We start from the raw sequence: 23,342 nt of genomic DNA on the forward strand, positions 1-23,342 counted from the left end.
GATAAGGTTTTTGATGTGCTGCTGGATTCGTTTTGCCAGTATTTTATTGAGGATTTTTGCATCAATGTTCATCAAGGATATTGGTCTAAAATTCTCTTTTTTGGTTGTGTCTCTGCCCGGCTTTGGTATCAGAATGATGCTGGCCTCATAAAATGAGTTAGGGAGGATTCCCTCTTTTTCTATTGATTGGAATAGTTTCAGAAGGAATGGTACCAGTTCCTCCTTGTACCTCTGATAGAATTCGGCTGTGAATCCATCTGGTCCTGGACTCTTTTTGGTTGGTAAACTATTGATTATTGCCACAATTTCAGCTCCTGTTATTGGTCTGTTCAGAGATTCAACTTCTTCCTGGTTTAGTCTTGGGAGAGTGTATGTGTCGAGGAATTTATCCATTTCTTCTAGATTTTCTAGTTTATTTGCGTAGAGGTGTTTGTAGTATTCTCTGATGGTAGTTTGTATTTCTGTGGGATCGGTGGTGATATCCCCTTTATCATTTTTTATGGTGTCTATTTGATTCTTCTCTCTTTTTTTCTTTATTAGTTTTGCTAGCGGTCTATCAATTTTGTTGATCCTTTCAAAAAACCAGCTCCTGGATTCATTAATTTTTTGAAGGGTTTTTTTGTGTCTCTATTTCCTTCAGTTCTGCTCTGATTTTAGTTATTTCTTGCCTTCTGCTAGCTTTTGAATGTGTTTGCTCTTGCTTTTCTAGTTCTTTTAGTTGTGATGTTAGGGTGTCAATTTTGGATCTTTCCTGCTTTCTCTTGTGGGCATTTAGTGCTATAAATTTCCCTCTACACACTGCTTTGAATGCGTCCCAGAGATTCTGGTATGTTGTGTCTTTGTTCTCGTTGGTTTCAAAGAACATCTTTATTTCTGCCTTCATTTTGTTATGTATCCAGTAGTCATTCAGGAGCAGGTTGTTCAGTTTCCATGTAGTTGAGTGGTTTTGAGTGAGATTCTTAATCCTGAGTTCTAGTTTGATTGCACTGTGGTCTGAGAGATAGTTTGTTATAATCTCTGTTCTTTTACATTTGCTGAAGAGAGCTTTACTTCCAAGTATGTGGTCAATTTTGGAATAGGTGTGGTGTGGTGCTGAAAAAAATGTATATTCTGTTGATTTGGGGTGGAGAGTTCTGTAGATGTCTATTAGGTCCGCTTGGTGCAGAGCTGAGTTCAATTCCTGGGTATCCTTGTTGACTTTCTGTCTCGTTGATCTGTCTAATGTTGACAGTGGGGTATTAAAGTCTCCCATTATTAATGTGTGGGAGTCTAAGTCTCTTCGTAGGTCACTTAGGACTTGCTTTATGAATCTGGGTGCTCCTGTATTGGGTGCATATATATTTAGGATAGTTAGCTCTTCTTGTTGAATTGATCCCTTTACCATTATGTAATGGCCTTCTTTGTCTCTTTTGATCTTTGTTGGTTTAAAGTCTGTTTTATCAGAGACTAGGATTGCAACCCCTGCCTTTTTTTGTTTTCCATTTGCTTGGTGGATCTTCCTCCATCCTTTTATTTTGAGCCTATGTGTGTCTCTGCACGTTAGATGGGTTTCCTGAATACAGCACACTGATGGGTCTTGACTCTTTATCCAATTTACCAGTCTGTGTCTTTTAATTGGAGCATTTAGTCCATTTACATTTAAAGTTAATATTGTTATGTGTGAATTTGATCCTGTCATTATGATGTTAGCTGGTGATTTTGCTCGTTAGTTGATGCAGTTTCTTCCTAGTCTCGATGGTCTTTACATTTTGGCATGATTTTGCAGTGGCTGGTACCGGTTGTTCCTTTCCATGTTTAGTGCTTCCTTCAGGAGCTCTTTTAGGGCAGGCCTGGTGGTGACAAAATCTCTCAGCATTTGCTTGTCTGTAAAGTATTTTATTTCTCCTTCACTTATGAAGTTTAGTTTGGCTGGATATGAAATTCTGGGTTGAAAATTCTTTTCTTTAAGAATGTTGAATATTGGCCCCCACTCTCTTCTGGCTTGTAGGGTTTCTGCCGAGAGATCCGCTGTTAGTCTGATGGGCTTCCCTTTGAGGGTAACCCGACCTTTCTCTCTGGCTGCCCTTAACATTTTTTCCTTCATTTCAACTTTGGTGAATCTGACAATTATGTGTCTTGGAGTTGCTCTTCTCGAGGAGTATCTTTGTGGCGTTCTCTGTATTTCCTGAATCTGAACGTTGGCCTGCCTTGCTAGATTGGGGAAGTTCTCCTGGATAATATCCTGCAGAGTGTTTTCCAACTTGGTTCCATTCTCCCTGTCACTTTCAGGTACACCAATCAGACGTAGATTTGGTCTTTTCACATAGTCTCATATTTATTGGAGGCTTTGCTCATTTCTTTTTATTCTTTTTTCTCTAAACTTCCCTTCTTGCTTCATTTCATTCATTTCATCTTCCATTGCTGATACCCTTTCTTCCAGTTGATCGCATCGGCTCCTGAGGCTTCTGCATTCTTCACGTAGTTCTTGAGCCTTGGTTTTCAGCTCCATCAGCTCCTTTAAGCACTTCTCTGTATTGGTTATTCTAGTTATACATTCTTCTAAATTTTTTTCAAAGTTTTCAACTTCTTTGCCTTTGGTTTGAATGTCCTCCCGTAGCTCAGAGTAATTTGATTGTCTGAAGCCTTCTTCTCTCAGCTCGTCAAAGTCATTCTCCATCCAGCTTTGTTCCGTTGCTGGTGAGCAACTGTGTTCCTCTGGAGGAGGAGAGGCGCTCTGCGTTTTAGAGTTTCCAGTTTTTCTGTTCTGTTTTTTCCCCATCTTTGTGGTTTTATCTACTTTTGGTCTTTGATGATGGTGATGTACAGATGGGTTTTTGGTGTGGATGTTCTTTCTGTTCGTTAGTTTTCCTTCTAACAGACAGGACCCTCAGCTGCAGGTCTGTTGGAATACCCTGCCGTGTGAGGTGTCAGTGTGCCCCTGCTGGGGGGTGCCTCCCAGTTAGGCTGCTCGGGGGTCAGGGGTCAGGGACCCACTTGAGGAGGCAGTCTGCCCGTTCTCAGATCTCCAGCTGCGTGCTGGGAGAACCACTGCTCTCTTCAAAGCTGTCGGACAGGGACATTTAAGTCTGCAGAGGTTACTGCTGTCTTTTTGTTTGTCTGTGCCCTGCCCCCAGAGGTGGAGCCTACAGAGGCAGGCAGGCCTCCTTGAGCTGTGGTGGGCTCCGCCCAGTTCGAGCTTCCCGGCTGCTTTGTTTACCTAAGCAAGCCTGGGCAATGGCGGGCGCCCCTCCCCCAGCCTCGCTGCTGCCTTGCAGTTTGATCTCAGACTGCTGTGCTAGCAATCAGCGAGACTCCGTGGGCGTAGGACCCTCCGAGCCAGGTGCGGGATATCATCTCGTCGTGCGCCGTTTTTTAAGCCGGTCCGAAAGGCGCAATATTCGGGTGGGAGTGACCCGATTTTCCAGGTGCGTCTGTCACCCCTTTCTTTGACTCGGAAAGGGAACTCCCTGACCCCTTGCGCTTCCCAAGTGAGGCAATGCCTCGCCCTGCTTCTGCTCGCGCACGGTGCGTGCACCCACTGACCTGCGCCCACTGTCTGGCACTCCCTAGTGAGATGAACCCAGTACCTCAGATGGAAATGCAGAAATCACCCGTCTTCTGCGTCGCTCACGCTGGGAGCTGTAGACCGGAGCTGTTCCTATTCGGCCATCTTGGCTCCTCTTCCCTTTTTTTTTATTTTTTAGTAGAGACAAGATTTCACCATGTTAGCCAGGATGGTCTCAATGTCCTGACCTCGTGATCCACCCGCCTCAGCCTCCCAAAGTGCTGGGATTACAGGCGTGAGCCATCATGCCCGGCCTAGGCATGAATTTTAAACAGCACCCCCACTTTCTGTACTCTCTCTCCCTACCTTCCCTTTCAATGCCTCTGGGCCTCCTTTGGAGGCGCCCGGCAGGACTCAATGGCAATAGAAGAGGAGGAAGGCAGAGAAGACTGAAAAACGAACCAATTTCTCCACACTTCATCTTAGGATTCATTCTGTGGTAAGGTGTCGGGATTGTCCACTAGTTCCTTCTATGGTAAATGAAACTATTTTGACTTAAAAACATTTGGTGAAAATATCTCCCTCATTTCTATCCTGAGAATAAATTCCCTGTAGAAACTGAGCTATCAGTGCGAAAAGTGTAAAATATGGCCAAGTCAGAAATTTTGTCAAAAGAGCCTATTTTTAATGGATAAGCCAGATTTCTATCTAAAGTAGTTGATTTGCCCTGGTACTATTTCTACAGCCAAGTTTCCTCAGCTGTTTTTGATTGTTAAATATATTGGTATCACTAGGGTTAAGAATTGCTTGAACATATTGGGTTCTTTTAAATCCTTAAAATAACCATATTATGTATGAAGGCTCATAAAATTAGAGCTGGTAGAAACTTAGGTAGATCAAGGGATTCTTAGAAAAGTCAGTTATCAGCTGTACCAGCTCCAAAGTGACACTGTACCATCTGCTAAGTCTTTCTACAGCTACTGAAGGACACATGTACTGGATAAAAAGATCATTCCTTAGAAAAGCCAAAAAGAAAATTTCCTGTGCTAAGTTGGGTCTAGCAAAGATTTTCTGTTTTGCACTTTCATTTGACCTAAAATACTATTTTAGAAGTTTTTTAAATCCCAGAAATAAAAAATTTGAAGTAAAAAGAATATAAACACAGTAAGGTTTGAGATTATTTATTTTGTCTATTTTCCCATTTTCTCCAATATTTTGTGCTTACCATCAGCATGCATCACATATTTTCTTGCCTGAGAGTTGGCCCTTGACACACACAGGTGACATTTGACAGACTGGGAAGACTTCTTAAACAAATACCAGCCCAGAGTTGAAATGGAAATGGGCCAGTTAGCAAACAGATAATAAATAGAACCCATGAGGCAGAAAGATCTTGGCCCCATCCCTGTTGGGAAAGAATTCATAATAAAATTATGCAACGGTCTGAGAGCCTCTCGAGGTTGAGCACAAAGCTTGAAGAAGCTTCATCAATTTAAAAAGAGAGCCACAGTTTCTTTCCCCACAGTTAGGTTTACCAGATAAAATAGTGCAATATTTGGGACATACTTATACTAAAAAAGTATTTTTTTTTTGAAATTCAAATTTGACTAAATGTTCTATATTTTTACTTGCTAAATCTGACAGCCCTATCAATAACAATAAAATGGCAATTTAGCATGGGCCTCTACAATCTGGTATCATCAGGTTGGAATCACCACCCAGAACCTTTCCTCCACCCCCAACTCCCCACAAACTCCTCCTGCTAAATAACCAAACAATTGGACTCTTTGTGCAAAAACAGGTCAAGGAAGTATAAATACGATAAATCAGCTTCTGGGATTGCCCTGGCCCAGCTAAAAAAGGTTCAAGTGAGTCCAGAATGGTTAGGGAAGTAATTGTTTCTTTCCTAATCTTCACCTGGGGCTACTGAGGGACACCCTTCTTACCCCCATCCAGTCATTCTTCCTTCATTTCTGTGTTGTCTTCTGCTATGTAATAATTGAGCGTTATTATAGAGCAGAGGTTGGTGGATGGAACAAGGTAACCAAGATCACTCAGCTGGCCTCATTTTCCCTAGGGCTCATTTAAAGGCAAGGATGGTCTCCACCTTCCCTCACTTTGCACTCTTGATGTGTGAGTTTCTGACTTGTGAAGCATCTCTGTGACCTGAGCTTTTAGTTTCCTTTGGTGTTTCCCTTTTCATACTAAGGTTGATCCAAGGTCCCTTATACCCAAAGGATAGCCTACAAAACCAGGTGCTGAATAAAGTGCTTCAGGCTCTTCCTCCTTGAGCCTTAGCATTGGGTCTCCATAATAAAGTATCTCTTAATAAAGCAGTATTTGATTCCTAGTGTGCTATTCATTCTCAAGGGTTCAACTCTTTTGTGTAGAGGAGGAAAAACTTTTTCCTCTGCCTTCTTAGATTGAGTGCCTGGGCCCTGAAAATGAAACTGACAAAAGACAGATTAACAGGAGAAGGGATTTATTATGTACTGTACACATCAGAGCTACTTATCTTGCCCTAGGGTCCCAATTGGGAATTCCAACCCAGTGATCTCTGAAGAGCATTTTCTGATTAGCATCATGATTAATCACACACAAATAGAATTTACACACAGAACAGGAATTCCTTAAGCTCACAGACAAATGTAAAAGCAAAATCAACAGGCATCTCTTTCTGAATTCCCACACTAAGAACCCTCTTCAGCAGTTAGTGTCTGGAAGCTTTTCTGGGTTTTTAGAAAAGACTTGTGAACTCCACTAAAACAGATGCTCCACTGGGGTTTTGGACACTTGATGTCTTGGAGAGTTCTGTTTATAAGGCCCAACCTAGAGGAGTTGAGTCTGGGATAAATCACTTTGTATATAGGAAGCACATTTACCCTCAGCCTTCCATTCTACCACCTGTATCATTTTTGTGTAGGTGAAGTATGAACAAACTATTAAAGAGGAGGAGTCAAAAGCGGGGCTGAGACTGTAGAAGTCAGGCGACCACCTACCTAGCTTTGGTGATGGAATAAAATGGAAGAAGGAGAATGAGTCCTTGGAGAAAGGTGTTGGAGATAAATACATTTAAGTGTCTTAATGTGTTGTCTCATTGGAGCTAATAATTATTATATATGATAATTACATAACCCCTTTTTATTTGTGGAGACCAGAGGAAGAGGGGATGGAAGCAGGAACTCAAACTCAAGTCTAGGTCTGGCTCCAAAGCATGTGTTCTTTCCCTTTCCCTCTCTAACTCTGTCTGTAGGTTTACTAGCTGCACTGCATTGTATTGGTACTGCATCTGCCCACAGTACGATGGGGCCTCCCGTCGCTCTGCTGGGCCCCAAGGCTGCCTCTGCTGATCCCTGACTACCAACCTTATTTGCAGCTTCTTGACAGTTACTTTGAAGCCTACCAGCACACGTTGGACCCTGAGGAGAGGTTTACCTTAGCACAAGTGATGACGGACATCGTGCACCGACGCCCGAGGTTTGATCTCAGCCACCCCTATTTCATTAAGGCCTACCAAGAGGAATGCACCTGCCTGAGGCTTCACCTGCAGTTAGTGAGGGGCATCCTCAACCAGCAGGTGAGTGTAGTTGGGTTTTAAAAGACTGCATGTGAGAAGAGGATGGAAAACACAGGCCAGAAATGAAAATAGTGTTTTCCTTCCATTGCAGATCTGGAATCTGTGTTTTCTAGGCCAGCATGTACAGCAGACTTATTTGTAAGCTCATTTGCATTGTTGAAATCCCAGTATAACTATGGTCTTAAAGAGAGATTTCCGCCCCTAATTAGAGTTAATAGTCCACAAGGAATTGATGACCTTAGTTTTCATTAGATCGCGAAGTTTATTTGTAGTGAAAGGAGAACTAATGATATATCTTTTTGACATTAATGTATAAAATTGTGTTTATTTTTTAAAAAGTGTGATTATTTTTGGGACACTGAAAGAAACCATCATATTGTATGTCCTCTAGGGAAACGCTAATGGCTTGAAGCAAACAAGAGACAAAGGATTATTGCCACCTGGTTGAAATTTTTTCCATGTAGTCAACTATTTAACAGAAAGATTTCTCTTTTGCTTCTTAAAATTGTCTGAAGTCAGTTGCCTTTGCTTCCCTTGGCTGTCTGGCTCAGACTGAGAAACCAGCCCATTGCAAAAGAGTCTTCAAAACAATGTCGGGGTGAAAATTAGTCAAATGATGAAGAGACACAAAGGGACAAAATCCTTCTCATGTCAAGGCTTATAACTCATGGCCGTGGGAAAGTTTAACTTTTCTAATTTTAATATTTATGCTACATTTTTAGATAGAACGTCAGCGGGAGTATGTCCAGAGGCTTTGGCGAGAGGATCATCTGGACAATAGCAATACATTTGGACTTCCCCTTAATATAGTTTGCAAACAACTTATTTCCATCAACAATAGCTGGTAAGTTGATGTTGTCTTTAGACATTTTACATGTGATCTTCTAGATTAATTAAGGGTAGAGTGTTAAATCTCAGTACTACTCTATAAAGCACTTCTCAAGTGCTTGGGGGAGATGAAAGAAGTAGGTACAAAGGCCACGAAGGAGGGATTCCCTTGTATATTGAATATCTGTTTGTTTTGTGAATAATAAAGAATAGGAGGCTAGAATTTAAGCATATGCCACTGGGTACAGAATCATTATTCTCTTGAAAAGGCCTGGGGAAAAAGCAGTTACTCTTGAGATGCTGTCAGGATTTAACCAGATGCACCACACGAGCCTACACATATAAAACTTGGATGTGCTTAAAAGCTTCTTAAAAAGGAATTTAAGTGTACTAAAGAGGTTTCTGCAGATTTGCCTTGGAGGGTCACAGCAGAGTTAAATTTAAGGAACAGAGTTAAATTTCCTGTGACCACTCAGAGAGGGTACACACTTTGTCACCCCCTAGATAGGCAGCATAACCATCTACCTCATTCCCTTTTAACCTTTGAGGGTAGAGGAAAGTGGGAAGCAGGTGACAAGCCCCAGGTTGATCTGCGTGGCTCTAGATCATAATCTCTCAATTGCCTCCAAATGGGTGGAGAAATTACATACTTCCTTTCAACAACCAACAGATATTTGTTTAGCACACAGATATGAACAACACAGGCATGGTTCTATGTTCCTGTGAGGTATACAGTCCAACAGTAAAGGCAGACTTTGTGTAAGAAATTGCCATAATGGGTTATGGTATTATCTTGGGAGCAGGCAGGGCATCACGGGACCAAATAGGGGAGATTCTCATTTTTTGAGAAAGAGCCCCGGGCTCAAAACTCTGCATTTTCCCCATAGACCTTCCACAGGACTGATTTCTTCTCTGTAATAAACTTGAGACACCAGCTGTGTGTGTGCAGCTTGCTATGGCAAACATTTACTGTTCAGGAAATGGTTTTTGGCAGAACAGGCTAGGGTTATATGGATACTAAAACCTGCCAGAATAGTCTCAAAAGCAAGTATTATTTGCTTGGTGAGATTCCTTTCCAGACTTTAGGCTGTTTTTTGTTTTTTGTTTTTTTTTTTAAAGATTCGGGACTAAGAAAGATACCATTTGCATCAATGTAAAGGGAGTTACAATGTTCTTCAGTTCTGTGTAGGTATAGAAGGACCCTCGACTTGTGCTGAACCCTTTATATCTAAAGAAATAACCCACAGATGAGTTTTTTTTTTTTGCTTCTGGCCTCATCCATTTATGAAATATAACACCCTTACAGTCAATTTGAATGATTCCAGCAGTTACATACAGCATTTAAAAATTGTCTTTGTCCATTAACATTCTAGGAGAGCAGAGATAAAGATTCAGATGAAAAATAGAAACTAATAACCATGGAAATTATTTGTTTTTTATGTAGTCACTTTTGAGCTATTTTGTTATATATTTGAGTAAATATTGATTATTGACAGTTTTGCTGTATAGTCTTTTTTTTTTTTTTTTTGAGACGGAGTCTCTCTCTGTCACCCAGGCTGGAGTGCAGTGGCGCAATCTCGGCTCACTGCAGGCTCCGCCTCCCGGTTCACGCCATTCTCCTGCCTCAGCCCCCTGCGTAGCTGGGACTATAGGCGCCCGCCACCACGCCTGGCTAATTTTTTTTGTATTTTTAGTAGAGACGGGGTTTCACCGTGTTAGCCAGGATGGTCTCGATCTCCTGACCTCGTAATCCGCCCGCCCGGCCTCCCAAAGTGCTGGGATTACAAGTGTGAGCCACTGTGCCCGGCCTGTATAGTCTTATTCTTATTGAGCTTCTAGAATATACATCTGTGTCTTTCCGTTTTGAAAGGTTCACATTAAACAAAGAACATGTCATGCAACCCTGTTGGTTCTCATACTCTGAGGTCCCTCTGAGCTCTCAGTTTTTCATAATGCACTGGACATATAGAAGCTGTTTTATTGGTCTTTAAAAATATAAAATTCAAATATCTTCGGAAACAGATTAAGTTTGTTGTGTAAAATTGTCATTTGTTGTTCTTTTCTTCAAGCCCAGCTTCAAAAAATGTTTATCTGCTGGAGTTCCACCCTTCCCTCAGCCTGGCAGCACTTATCCCCAAAGCCCTAGAGCATCTCTTCCAAGAGGCCTGCCATGCCTGCAGACCCACATCAGCCAGTGGCCTTGCCTCCCTGGAGCGACATGTCCTGCAGCTGGCCCTGGACCTGTGGCTCACCCCAGCCACGCCTGAGGCCTGGTACAGTACACAGCTCCAGAAAGATGTAAGTTCTTTTTGAAGGGGGTAGTTGGGTCCTTGGCAAGGAGAATGTTTTTTTCCAGGTGTTACTATTTAGCTTTGTTTTTCTGTTTGGCTCTATTCCCCCATTATTTGGCTAGAGACAGAGCTCAGTCATAGGCCTTGTCAACATTTTTATGTCATTTTTTGGGGGATTGGGTCAAAGTTTCTCATTTATAAACATACTGCTACAATTAAAATTTAAAAGGTGATATACATGGGTATGTGGGAAATGTTTTCTGGTTTATTATTTATATTTTAACAAATACATTTTAATTAAAAATGATATATTTTCTTTCCACTAAGACACTTCCTAAATGTGTTCTTTTTGTCAAGATCTGGTAGAAGACAGAAAGCACTGAGTAAGGAGTCAGGGATCTGAATTCAAGTTCAGTCCTGCCATTAACTTGCTGTGTGACTCTGAGCATATATCTTAGCCTCTCTGACCTCACTTTCCTTTTTTTGTAAAACTATGTTTGTGTACTTGGTAGGGGAGGTAGGTGGAGGTGAGCTCGATGATCTCTGAAGCCCCTTTCAGCTCTACTGCTCCATGGTTAAAATTGTGGGTTAATGATTTATATGGTGTTTGTAGTTGGATTTTAATGATTTTCTTTTTCTGTTAAGGCTGTCAAGTTTACCCCTGGGTTTCCAATTTGACCTCATTCTGTGTGCGTTCTTGCTGTGTGACAAAGAAACTTTCATGGGCCCCCCACTGCCAAAACTGTCTGCTCTATAGGTCTGCCTTGGCCTCCTATCCCCTCCTGCCTAAAGTAAAAATTGATTTTATTTTACAGTGATCAAAATAATATAAAATCACAGAGAATTCTAGTAAAAGCAGAAAGAACAAAATTGAATTTAAACATCACCAATCAAATGCATTCATATCATTATTTTTCTGAATTTAAGTATTGTTAATATGTGTGTTGTTCACAGCTATAACCATAGTTTTTGTCCATTGTTATTTCCTCCTCTTCTCAGTTAACATTATACTACATATTTTTCCATAACACTAACTAGTCTTTAGACTTACCTTTATGACCACATAATTCCCATATCTGATGAATAAAAACTTCTCTAATCATTTCTCTATTGATGGACATTCAAGTGGTTTCCAATTCTTCGTTTATGAAAAATGCTATAAGATATATCTTTTTACTTAAAGATTTTTCCATATTTTGAATTGATTCCTTTTGATAGGTTCTTGGAAGCAGAATTACTAAAATAAAATTTAAATATTTGGATACATATTGGCAGATTGCTTTCCAAAGAGTTGTGCCAATTTATAATGGCACTTATATATTCTGAGTACCAGTTCTGCTATACTGTGTAGTATTAGGCAAAAGTATATGATGTATGTGCGAATATACACATATACATAAAAAGTGGTATTATGCTGTTAATTTGCATTTTCTTGCTATTTATTGAACTTAAATAGTCTTTCAAATGTTTTGTTGCTAATTATATTTTTTGTGAATTTTGTTCTTTCCCTTCATTTATTTATCTGTTGGAATCCTAACATTAGTCCTATCTACTTACATGAGCTTCTCTTAAATAAGAACTTTAACCTTCTTTTTGTCTATAATTTTCTACAAATGTTTCCCCATTCATTCCCCCACCACCTTTTTTTTTTTTTTTTTTTTTTTTTTTTTGAGACAGGGTCTCACTCTCTTGCCCAGGATGTAGTGCAGTGGCACAATCACAGCTCACTGCAACCTCAGTCTCCCCAGCTCAAGCTATTCTCCTACCTCAGCCTCCTGAGTAGCTGGGACTCTAGGTGCACACCATCATGCCCAGCTAAATTTTTGTATTTTTAGTAGAGATGAGGTTTCACCATGTTGTCCAGGCTGGTCTCCAACTCCTGGGCTGAAGCGATTCCCCCACCTTGGCCTCCCAAATTGCTAGGATTATAGGCACGAGTCACTGTGCCCAGCCCCCCCATTTGTCTTTCCATTTTTTTTAACATAAACTTATTTTCATATAGTCAAATCTATTAATCATTTTCTTTATGATTTCTTCTATCCTAAATTCAGAAAAAAAATCTTACTCCAGATATTTCATATTTGTCTTATTTGATTCTCATTTTTAAGTGCTTGGTTTTATTTTTAAAATATTTAACACTGCTGGGCGCAGTGGCTCGCAAGTGTAATTCCAGCACTTTGAGAGGCCATGGTGGACAGATCACTTGAGGCCAGGAGTTCAAGACCAGCCTGGCCAACATGGCGAAACCCCATCTCTACCAAAAATAGAAAATTAGACGGGCATGGTGGTGGGCACCTATAATTCCAGCTACTCAGGCAGCTGAGGCAGGAGAATCACTTGAATATGGGAGGTGGAAGTTGTAGTGAGCCGAGATCGCACCACTGCACTCCAACCTGGGTGACAGAGCAAGACTCCACCTCAAAATAAATGAATAAATAAATAATAAATAAAAATAAACAAAATAAAAATATTTAACTCTTTTAATATTTCACTGGAGAGAGAGAAAAAGAGAAAGAGAGTATGTGTGCATGCATCTGTGTGGTATGTGAGGTATGTATGAGTCAAAACCAAGTTTTTCCTCAAATTACCAGCAATTTATTCTGCTACCATTATTGAAGATTCTTTTCACATTGCCTTATGATACCACATTTAAAAGATGTATTTGAAATCCTTTTATAAATTATAATAAATATCTGGGATACCTGTCTAGTCTCCCATTGCTGTCACACAGTTTTATTATTTTTGAAATCTGTCCAAATTTGGACCTACAAGTGATAAATATTCAGATTAATATTTTATATTAGGTCAGAAAACGCCCTCAGAAGACATACAGGAATTTATTTAATAGGTCTATTTGTTACCACTTTGGAAAACTTTAAGAGCCTAGAAATTGCATCCTTTAGTAGCCCAGTCCTTTGGTAGATAAGTGGATAGACAAAGGAGCCTATGTATCCTGGGGAGCCAAACCAGAGAGGCAGATTGGGGGGTCCCCAGACTGGGTGGTTGCTGGGAGTGGTATATTCGAAGACAGCAAAGATGTTAGAGCAGAGGTACCCACCAAGGCAGGAGGGTGTTAAAGGACAATGTGGTTACTTCACAAATCACCCAGAGCCAGCTCTGAGTGAAAGAATGCTGGAAAGGCAGTTTGGTGTACTATAAAACAGCTGAACTTGGAATTAGGAAGCCCAGATTTACTCTTGGTACTGCTTTGTGACCTTGGAAATTTTCATGTTGCTTCAGATCCCTCACTGACAAAGGGGAATAATGATACCTGTGACGCCTATTTCATAGGGATCTTGTGAAAATAAAAATGCGTTAATATATGTAAAAATACTTTGAAATTTTGAAACTGTAATTAGAGAGGTTTATTTAAAAAAAAAATTGTTGGCCGGGCGTACTGGCTCACGCCTGTAATCCCAGCACTTTGGGAGGCCAAGGCGGGTAGATCATGAGGTCATGAGATTGAGACTATCCTGGCTAACACAGTGAAAACCCATTTCTACTAAAAATACAAAAAAATTAGCCGGACGTGGTGGCACATGCCTGTAGTCCCAGCTACTCAGGAGGCTGAGGCAGGAGAATCGCTTGAACCCGGGAGGCGGAGATTGCAGTGAGCCGAGATTGCGCCACTGCACCCCAGCCTGGGCGACAGAGCAAGACTCCATCTCAAAAAAAAAAAAAATTATTATTGGCCACCAAAATACTTTTAAAAATCAGGGACGTCTATTTCTATTTAGCTTGTCTTTGGCATAGACAAAGTATCCCCACAGTGAATATCTAGGGATTTGTTTATTTAGACTCATAACATTTATAATAATGATAACAGCAGATACTTTTGCATATGTTAACCCATTTAACCCTCTCAAGAGCCCTATTAGGAAGTTAGTATCTATTTGCATACAGTAAGGACTGTTATTATCCTGATCATCACTTTATAGATGAGAAAATTGAGAGACAGCCAAATTGAGTACATTACCAAAATCTCACAGCTTCTAAGTGGCAAAGTTAGAACTTGAGCCTAGGAAATCTGGATCCAGAGTTTGTGCCACTGACAGACAGTATATTTTTTTAATGTGAAAATTCTTCTTCTATGTTTTAAAGGATATTTTGTTTTCTTTCAGCTGTTTTCAGCTAAAGTTATGGGAGATCCCTTTCTCGTGGGGGAGATAGGCCTGCTGGCATTCAAGTCTGCAGCAGACGAAGGACAGAAACAAGACCAAGACTCTCACGTGCTGCTCTTGGAGATGTTTTCCAAACTTCTGGAACTCTTGACCCTCCGCCACCGGCTGATAGAAATGAGCCTGGAGAGTGCACACTTAGCTCGGTCAGTGGGGGTCAGAGGACCCAGGTGGAATATAAGGTTTGCAGCAAAACATGGGGGGAAACAGGCCATGAGACTCCCTGCCTACAAGCCTGCCCCTCTCTGCTCCCAGAGCAGCCAGAGTTTTCTAAATGGCTAACACGATCACCTTGCTCCCTTGTTCCTTCTCTCTTCCGAGCCTCCCGAAATGCCTCTCTGATCACTCAACCAGGCTAAGCCCTTCTACTGGCACCTGGGTTTCCCCTCCATTCAGCCCATTTGCTTTTACTTCATTGCTTATTATTGGTTTACTGACTTTCCTGCTAGCATAAGCTCCCTAAATACAAAAGCCCTATCCACATTCTTTACCATGACATACCATCACCTGGTATGGGGCCTGAGCCACACCAGGCACTCAGGGAATATTGGTTGAATTTGCTCCTGAATGTAATGAAATTGAATAGAAAGAGCCTAGAGATGGGAGAGAGATGAGTCAGTGACAGCATCCAGGTCAGACAGAGGTATGGCGGGCTCGGCGCATAGGAGAAAGAAATTAGCGAGTTACGTTTTAGGTATGAGAGTGAGATGATGGTAGGACATCAAGTGGACATGTCCTACAAGCAGGAATAATATGGAACTAAAGGGTTTGTTGTAAACATGTATGAGTGCTGTAATGTTCTGGTCCCCACAAAAGGCCCTGTAGACATAGAGTCCAGTTACCTACCACCAACCATTATCAAGGGCCCGCTGTGGCCAGGGTCTTTACTGGGGACTTTATGTGTATTATTTCATTTAATTCTCAGAATATCCTTATGAGGTAGGTTACAAACATTTTATCAGCAAGGAAATAGAGGCTCATAAAAGTTAATTTGCCTAAGAGCATATAACTAGAAAGTGTGAAGGCAGAATTTAAATTATCAGTCAAGATATTAACATCACTCTATAATTTATGATTCTTGGTGGCAGGAAGCTCATAATGTAAAAATTACCCATGATACATGGTAACAATGATATTCTACTGATATGTACAAAATACTAGGGGAGTACAGAAAAGAGAGTATTTCATTCTTCCTAAGTGGTCAGGGAAAGCTTCATAGAAGAGGGGCTGCTATGGGTTGAATTATGTCCCTCCAAAATTCATATGTTCAAGGCCTAATCCCCAGTACCTCCGAATGTGGCCTTATTTGGAGATAGGTCTTTACAGAGGTAATTGAGTTAAACAGAAGTTATTAGAGTGGGACTTAATCCAGTTTGACTGGTGTCCTTATAAGAAGAGGAAATTCGGACACAGACACACACAGAGGGAGACCATGTGAAGGCAGAGGGAGAAGATGGTCATCAATGAGCCAAGGAGAGAGACCAGGACCAGATCCTCCCCTCACGGCCCTCAGGAGGAGCCAGTCCTGTTGACACCTTGATTTCAGACTTCTATCCTCTAGAACTGTGAGACAATAAATTTCTGTTGTTTAATATTTTGTGTGTTTCTAGGGTACTTTGTTACAGCAGCCCTAGTAAACTAATACAGGTGCCAAGAACTCAGCCTTCACGTGCCAACTTCTCAAGATGAGAAATGCATTAGAAGTGGGATGTTGGGGGACATGCACCATGGCTCACACCTGGAATCACAGTACTTTGGGAAGCCAGGATGGGAGGATCACCTGAGGCCAGGCGTTTGAGACCAGCATAGGCAACACAGCAAGACTTCATTTCTACAAAATTTTTTTTAAAATTAGTTGGGCCTGGTGGTGCATGCCTGTTCCAGATATTTGGGAAGCTGAGGTGGGAGGATTGCTTGAGCTCAGCAGTTTGAGACTGCAGTGAGCTATGACTGCACCACTGCACCCCAGCCTGGGCAATAAAGCAAGACCCCTATCTCTAAAAATAAAAGACAAAGGAGGAGGAGGAAATAGGAAGAAGAAGAAGGAGGAGGAAAGGAGGAGGAGGAGGAAGAGGAAGAAGAATAAAGAAGGAAGAAGAAGAAGAAAAGAAGCAGAAGGAAAAGAAGAAGGAGGAGAAGAGGAAGAAGAGGAGGAGGAGGAGGAGGAGGAAGAGAGTGTTAAGGAAGGAGGAAAGAATTGTAAAGATGTAAGGCTGATATTCCAGAGGAACATCTAACTGGAACCATGCTGCGACAGACTTGGGACTGGAGCTCAGAGTTAAGTCAGGACACAGACAAGGGTCACAGATTGTTACATGAAGTCTTAGGGTGTGGAGCTGAACAGACTCCCCCACAAACCCCCAAGGAGGGGATGTGGTAGATGAGAAGAGAACCAGGTTCAGAACCTCAGGAAACACCAACATTTGAAGATAAGCAAGAGGAGAAGCCAGTGAAGATGAGAGAGAGCGGTCATGAGGCAGGAACATGGAGAAAGATGATCCTCAAGGAGGGGACAGTGAGGCCAACTGTGATGAGCTCTGAGAGAAGATGGTGAGTGTTGCATTTCAGCAACATTGGTGACCTCATGAGGGCTCTGGGGACAGAAGTCAGCTTGTGGAAAATGAGAGTTGAGTAAACACCCAAGCACATCTCCTACTTGAACTGCTTTCTACCATCTGTAACTGTCACAGCAAGTGCAGAGCAGAAGACCTCTTTGACTCGCTCACTTCACACAGATCTGGGCTTTTGTTGGACTTTACTTTGGTTCTTGTTCAGGTGTCTTAGTTTTCTTATCACTCGCTTTCTTTTTAGGAGAAAACACTAACATATGTCCTTGGCTCTTTTTTTTCTTTTAGGCTCTATAAAGAATTGGCATGGGAGATGGGTTTTGAAGAGTTCCATTTGTATCTGAGGCCTGTTCACTTTGAATTTGCATCACACGGGGACAGGGCAGACCAGCCACCTCCTGTGTTTATAACCTCTCTGCTGGAGGACAGTGGTCGGGTAGACAGGTAAGCCTTGAGAGGGTTGAGGTAAAAATAACGTAATGGCTGAGTGAATAACCAGTGAAAAATAATTTTTGTCACCATTCAACATGCAAGAACAATCACATTTCTAAGTTCTCTCTTATATTCTATCTGCCATGATGCCAGTTTTTTTTCTTCTTTCTTCTTTTAATAAGAGGGAAAAAGTAAGATCTCATTTAGGGGGACAATAGCATTTAAAAACACCAAGTAACTGAGAAATGAAAGAACCAGGTTGTCCAAGAACTCAGGTGAGATGAAATCACAGGTTCAGCCGCTTCCCGGGTAGAATATGTTGCTTCCAGGTAGAAAAGGGAGTCAGCATGGGTCTAATGGGGTGAGAGCCATGGATCAGAAGTCCAGGTCTCATCTCTTACTTTTCTTCAGACCAGGAAGATGTCACTTAAGTTTTCAGAGCAGCTGTTTCCTTGAAAGGATAACACAAGGTACAAATATAACATGCAGGCAATATCTCAGGCAGCCTTCTTTATTAGCTAGTGACAGAAGCCAGTGCAAACCAGTGAAACTTCTCTCTCATGCCCCATAGGTCCAACCCATTGCTTGAAAGAAAATACCCTTACTAGTAATATATGGTGAGTCTACTCAGTCAGGGGAAGGAATCTTCTTTTGTTCTCACACAATTAACCTTTGACGTGTGGGAGGAGAAACTTCTGTCTTCCTCTTCTTTCCTTCTCTGCTATCTGCTTTTCCCCATAGGGTCCCACCTCTATCCCTGGAGATTCTTGGTACTGGCTCCATGCCAAGGAAGGAAAAAGGTGACTCCAAGGAGGCAACCGGCACCTTTGTTTCGCTAATGCAGATCCCTGCTCAAAATAGAATGCTGAGTGTTAATATCCTAAAAGACTCCACAGAGCAGGGGTGGAATGAGGGGGTTAGGATGATAGAATACAATATCCCAAGATTTCTCAATTTTAGCACTACTAAACTTTGGGGCTGAAGAAATCTTTGTTGTGGGGGACTGTCCTGTGTGTCTTAGGTTCATTAGCAACATTTCTGACTTCTACGCACTAGATACCGGTAGTATTCCAGTACCCCACCCCACACACACTGTTCTATAATCAAAGATGTCCCCAGACATTGTCAAATATCTCCTGGGGGCAAAACCTCCCCCTGCTCTATCCTGTCACACTAGCTAAGCCAAAAACAGAATTTACTGTAAGGATACAGAGATGTTCACAGAAGCCAAGGCAGGAAGTATGGTCAGGCCTTAGGTGATGCTGGGTCTCCAATTGGCAAAAAAAAAACAAAAAAAAAAACCATCTGGAGCCAAGCTATTTTCTGGTTCTTCAAGGGCCTCCTTGGTTGGTGTTTTATATTGCTGTGAAAATAGGGCATCACATTTTTGTTCAGTCAGAATCCACCAATCAGCACAAACTGCCCAAATGCCCTGTGGTCTGGCCGATGCTCTGTGGTCTGTGATTGGTCCTCCAGGTGATGACCTAGAGATGCCGCAAGATAAGGAAGCCTTCTGCATTACCAAGGGAAGGCTTATGCATCCAAAGAACTTGTGTATTGAATTCATATTTATTTTATGTATGTTAATTCCTTAAAGTTGCCACTTTGGAGTGCCATTATAACAACAACATATATAGTGGTCCCTTAGTGTCTGTGGGGGATCAGTTCTAAAATCCTCTCGGTTACCAAAATCCAAGGATGCACAAGTTCCTTATATTACCAAAATCCAAGGATGCACAAGTGCCTTATATAAAATGGCATAGTATTTGCATATAACCTATGCACTCCCTCCCTTATGCTTTAAATCATCTTTAGATTACTTATAATTATACTTAATACAATTTAAATGCTATGTAAATAGTCATTATACTACATTGTTTTTATTTGTATTATTTTAATTTTTGTATTATTACTTTTTATTATTTTGTGTTTTCAAATATTTTTTATCTGCAATTAGTTGAATCCATGGATGCAGAACCCATAGATATGGAAGGTCAACTGGATCAAATATGAGTATAGTTACTTACATTTTAAAAAGCACATTCATGCATATTATCCCTCTTAATATTTGCCATAACCATGTGAGATAGGTGATATCCCCTTTACAGATGAAGAAAGAAAGATTGATAGATATTAAGTTACTTGACAAAGTCTCATAGTTATGGACAAAGTACCAAGTCTCAAGGTGGAAAAATGGCTGTAAAGAATATTTAGATAGCTGTTGGACCCATAGGAAAGAGAGAGAATTGGACAACATTTAGGGGGTGCTCAAAGGAGTGAGTCAGTGAGGGATCCTAAACAAGTGTGGTCAAGAAGGTGAGAAGAGCCAGGTGTGGTGGTGCATGTCTGTAGTCCCAGCTACTCAGTAGGCTGAGGTGGGACAGTTGCTTGAGCTCAGGGGTTCAAAGCTGCAGTGAGCTATAATTGCACCACTGCCATTCAGCCTGAGTGACAGAGTAAGATTCTGACTCCAAAAAAAAAAAAAAAAGTCACTTGGTACACCTTTGATGCCCAGTTAACTATATATGTACTTTGAATAAATAAAAACATTTTGCTTAAAAAAAAAAAAAGAAGGTAAGAGGAAAAACGGGAGAGAGTAGTGTAATGGTAATCAAGAGAAAATAATTTCCAACGCTATGGGGTGGTCACCATAATCAAACTACAGAAAGATCAAGTCCAAAAAGGACAGAAAAGATCCCAGAGCCCTTATAGCTTTCAGTGGAAATATCAAGTCTTGCATAAAAGTTGCATTTCCTATTATTATTGACATTTCTGATCTGATCATGACATCCTGTTCCATCATAATGGTGTCTCTTGATTAGTTGCATATTACATCAAAACAATTTCATATTTTTTGTTGCAGATATTCTCCTACTGCTCTTGTCTTAGCCATCTCTGAGGTGGATGATAACCAAATTGGCAAATTTAGTTTTTACACAAAGGAAGCCATTCTTAAGGTAAACAATTTATTTTTTAAAAGCAAATGAAAGTAAAATAAAGCAATTTGCTCACATATTTCTTTAAGAAGACATAATACTTTATATAAATTTAGCTTCCATATATAAGAAAAGCTTCCAATTTCATAAATAATAATAATGGTTGTTTTAGTCCATTTTCTTTTGCTATAACAAAATACCTGAGACTGGGTAATTTATAAAGAAAAGAAGTTTATTTGGTCCGATGTTGCGGGAAGTCAGGGACCCCAAACGGAGATACCAACTGAAGCCATGGCAGAAGAATGTGGATTGTAAAGATTTCATGGACATTTATTAGTTCCCCAAATTAATACTTTTATAATTTCTTATGCCTGTCTTTACTGCAATCTCTAAACATAAATTGTAAAGATTTCATGGACACTTATCACTTCCCCAATCAATACCCTTGTGATTTCCTATGCCTGTCTTTACTTTAATCTCTTAATCCTGTCAGCTGAGGAGGATGTATGTGGCCTCAGGACCCTGTAATAATTGCATTAACTGCACAAATTGTACAGCATGTGTGTTTGAACAATATGAAATCTGGGCACCTTGAAAAAAGAACAGGATAACAGCAATTGTTCAGGGAATAAGAGAGATAACCTTAAACCCTGACCACCGGTGAGCCGGGCGGAACAGAGCCATATTTCTCTTCTTTCAAAAGCAAATGGGAGAAATATCGCTGAATTCTTTTTCTCAGCAAGGAACATCCCTGGGAAAGAGAATACGTGCCTGGAGGTATAGGCCTATAAATGGCACCCCTAGGTGTGCCCGTCTTTTATGGTCTGTAGTCTGCAGGGGTGAAATAGACCCCAGTCTCCCATGGCGCTCCCAGGCTTATTAGGAAGACGAAATTCCTGCCTAATAATTTTGGTCAGACCAGTTGCTCTCAAAACCCTGTCTCCTGATAAGATGTTATCAATGACAATGGTGCCCGAAACTTCATTAGCAATTTTAATTTCACCCTGGTCCTGTGGTCCTGTGATCTTGCCCTGCCTCCACTTGCGTTGTGATATTCTATTACTTTGTGAAGTATTTGATGTCTGTGACCCACACCTATTCGCACACTCCCTCCCCTTTTGAAAATCCCTAATAAAAACTTGCTGGTTTTTGCGGCTTGTGGGGCATCACGGAACCTACCGACATGTGATATCTCCCCCAGACGCCCAGCTTTAAAATTTATCTCTTCTGTACTCTGTCCCTTTATTTCTCAAGCCAGCTGACATTTAGGGAAAGTAGAAAAGAACCTACGTGACTATCGGGGCAGGTTCCCCGATAGTCCATGATTCTGGAGGCTGGGAAGTCCAAGGACATGGTGGCAGCTTCTGGCAAGAGCTTTTGCACTGCATCATAACATGGCAGAAAAGCAGAAGGGCAAGTGATTACATGCAAAAGAGACTGCAAGAGCAAGCCAAGCTTGCTTTTATAACATCCTGCTCTCTCGAGAAAGAAATCCACTCCCACGATTATGACATTAATCCATTCATGAGGGCTCTAATCTCATGGCCCAATCACCTCCCAACACATGAACTTTTGGGGGACACATTCAAACCATAATGATGGCCTTGCCTTATTTGATGTGCACATTAGCCTGGTTTGAACCATAGAGACTGCAACACCACTTATAATAACTTCTGTTAGGTACTAAAAAAGAAGTTCACATGTAGTGAACAATCTTTGCATAAGGTTTTAAAAATATACATTTGTTATTGGAGCTTTTATCTGGTCTTTCTAAACCTGGTGCTATTTTTTATCTGCTACTTGGATTTCTTTGCTTCTATATGTGTATTTTTAAAATGTCGATCTAATCTTGGCTTACAGGAGCCTGCCACTGAGCACATGTTTGCTAGTTCATCAGAGCCTATTCATCTTTTCCTGACCACTGGTGAAATCTCATGGTGTCCAGCTATAGAGCAAATCAAGCCTGGAGGCTGCCTTCTTGGAATGAAATGCTGCTTAGGGAGAGACCAGATTCAGTCTTATGGCTGAGTAGCAAGCATCCCAGCTCATTTGGGAGTTTGATTCATATATTTACATGTTGAATAAGTGGTGATTTCAACCCTCAACTCACTTCTTTATGCAAGACATTCCTAATATTTTTCATATTTTCTTCCTTTAGCTTTTGCTGCATTCAGGAGTGGAAAATATGCAGGTGACTCTTGCATGCCAAGCTGCTCAGAAAAATGCTTTGATGGCGGCTGTCCAGCAGGTGTACTTCTATTGCACCCCTCAAGGGAGCTGTCCTGCTAATGTCAAGGTCAGCCTGCATGACAGAGAAGCCAGAGGCATCTCATCACCTCCACCAGCTAATGTCAGGCTGCCCCTTTCTTCCTTCCTTTTTTCCCTTCTCCCTTTCTCCCTTTCTTTCTCCCCTGCCCCCTACTTTCTCTTTCCTATCTCTTTATCTTCCTTACTTTCCTTTTTTCTTCCTTTCCTTGTTTCCTGTTTGTGAATCAATGTATGACCAAATCCTTATTGGATTTCTTAATTTTCAGTTATACTTTTTTCTGTATTTCTTATTTTTTGGTTATTGAGACATAATTCATGTGATATAAAACATACCACAGGCTGGGCATGGTGGCTCACACCTGTAATCACAGCACTTTAGGAGGCAGAGGTGGGTGGATCACAAGGTCAGGAGATCGATACCATCCTGGCCAATATGATGAAACCCCATCTCTACTAAAATACAAAAAACTAGCTGGGCATGGTGGCACGTGCCTATAGTCCCAGCTACTCGGGAGGCTAAGGCAGGGGAATTGCTTGAACCCAGAAGGCAGAGTTTGCAGTGAGCTGAGATCGTGCCACTGCACTCCAACCTGGCAACAGAGTGAGACTCCTTCTCAAAACAAACAAACAAACACCATATTATAGTATATAATTCAGTGGTTTTTAGTATATTCACAAGATTGTGCAACCATCATCACTACCTAATTCCAAAACATTTTTATCACTCACTCTCAAAAGAAACGTTGTACCCATTAGCAGTTACTTACTTTTTCTCCCTCCC

The 23,342-nt window shown here is 41.1% G+C and overlaps 1 long non-coding RNA gene and 1 pseudogene across 2 annotated transcripts in view, besides 1 other annotated feature; one reads left to right on the forward strand and one right to left on the reverse strand.

Moving 5' to 3' along the window:
* CCDC162P (coiled-coil domain containing 162, pseudogene) overlaps window positions 1-23,342 on the forward strand; it is a 189,118-nt pseudogene that overhangs the window by 81,757 nt on the left and 84,019 nt on the right. Inside the window, exons 17-23 of the transcript NR_152435.1 lie at window positions 6,861-7,061; window positions 7,784-7,905; window positions 9,959-10,187; window positions 14,302-14,504; window positions 17,214-17,369; window positions 20,221-20,314; window positions 22,452-22,589. The product of NR_152435.1 is annotated as a coiled-coil domain containing 162, pseudogene (transcript). The remainder of the gene's footprint in view (window positions 1-6,860; window positions 7,062-7,783; window positions 7,906-9,958; window positions 10,188-14,301; window positions 14,505-17,213; window positions 17,370-20,220; window positions 20,315-22,451; window positions 22,590-23,342) is intronic.
* Window positions 3,360-4,138: an enhancer, noted in NCBI's record as "NANOG-H3K27ac-H3K4me1 hESC enhancer chr6:109572150-109572928 (GRCh37/hg19 assembly coordinates)". NCBI's record gives its function as "activates a minimal SCP1, AML or CMV promoter by ChIP-STARR-seq in primed H9 embryonic stem cells {active_cell/tissue: H9 hESC(primed)}" and the evidence as "EXISTENCE:reporter gene assay evidence [ECO:0000049][PMID:30033119]".
* On the reverse strand, window positions 17,853-18,916 carry LOC124901374 (uncharacterized). Its single transcript, XR_007059701.1, has 2 exons — window positions 18,557-18,916; window positions 17,853-18,205 (listed from the first exon to the last, which is right to left on the reverse strand). It is a non-coding gene; the product is annotated as an uncharacterized LOC124901374 (long non-coding RNA).

This window comes from Homo sapiens, chromosome 6, assembly GCF_000001405.40.
Source record: "Homo sapiens chromosome 6, GRCh38.p14 Primary Assembly".
Taxonomy (NCBI): domain Eukaryota; kingdom Metazoa; phylum Chordata; class Mammalia; order Primates; family Hominidae; genus Homo; species Homo sapiens.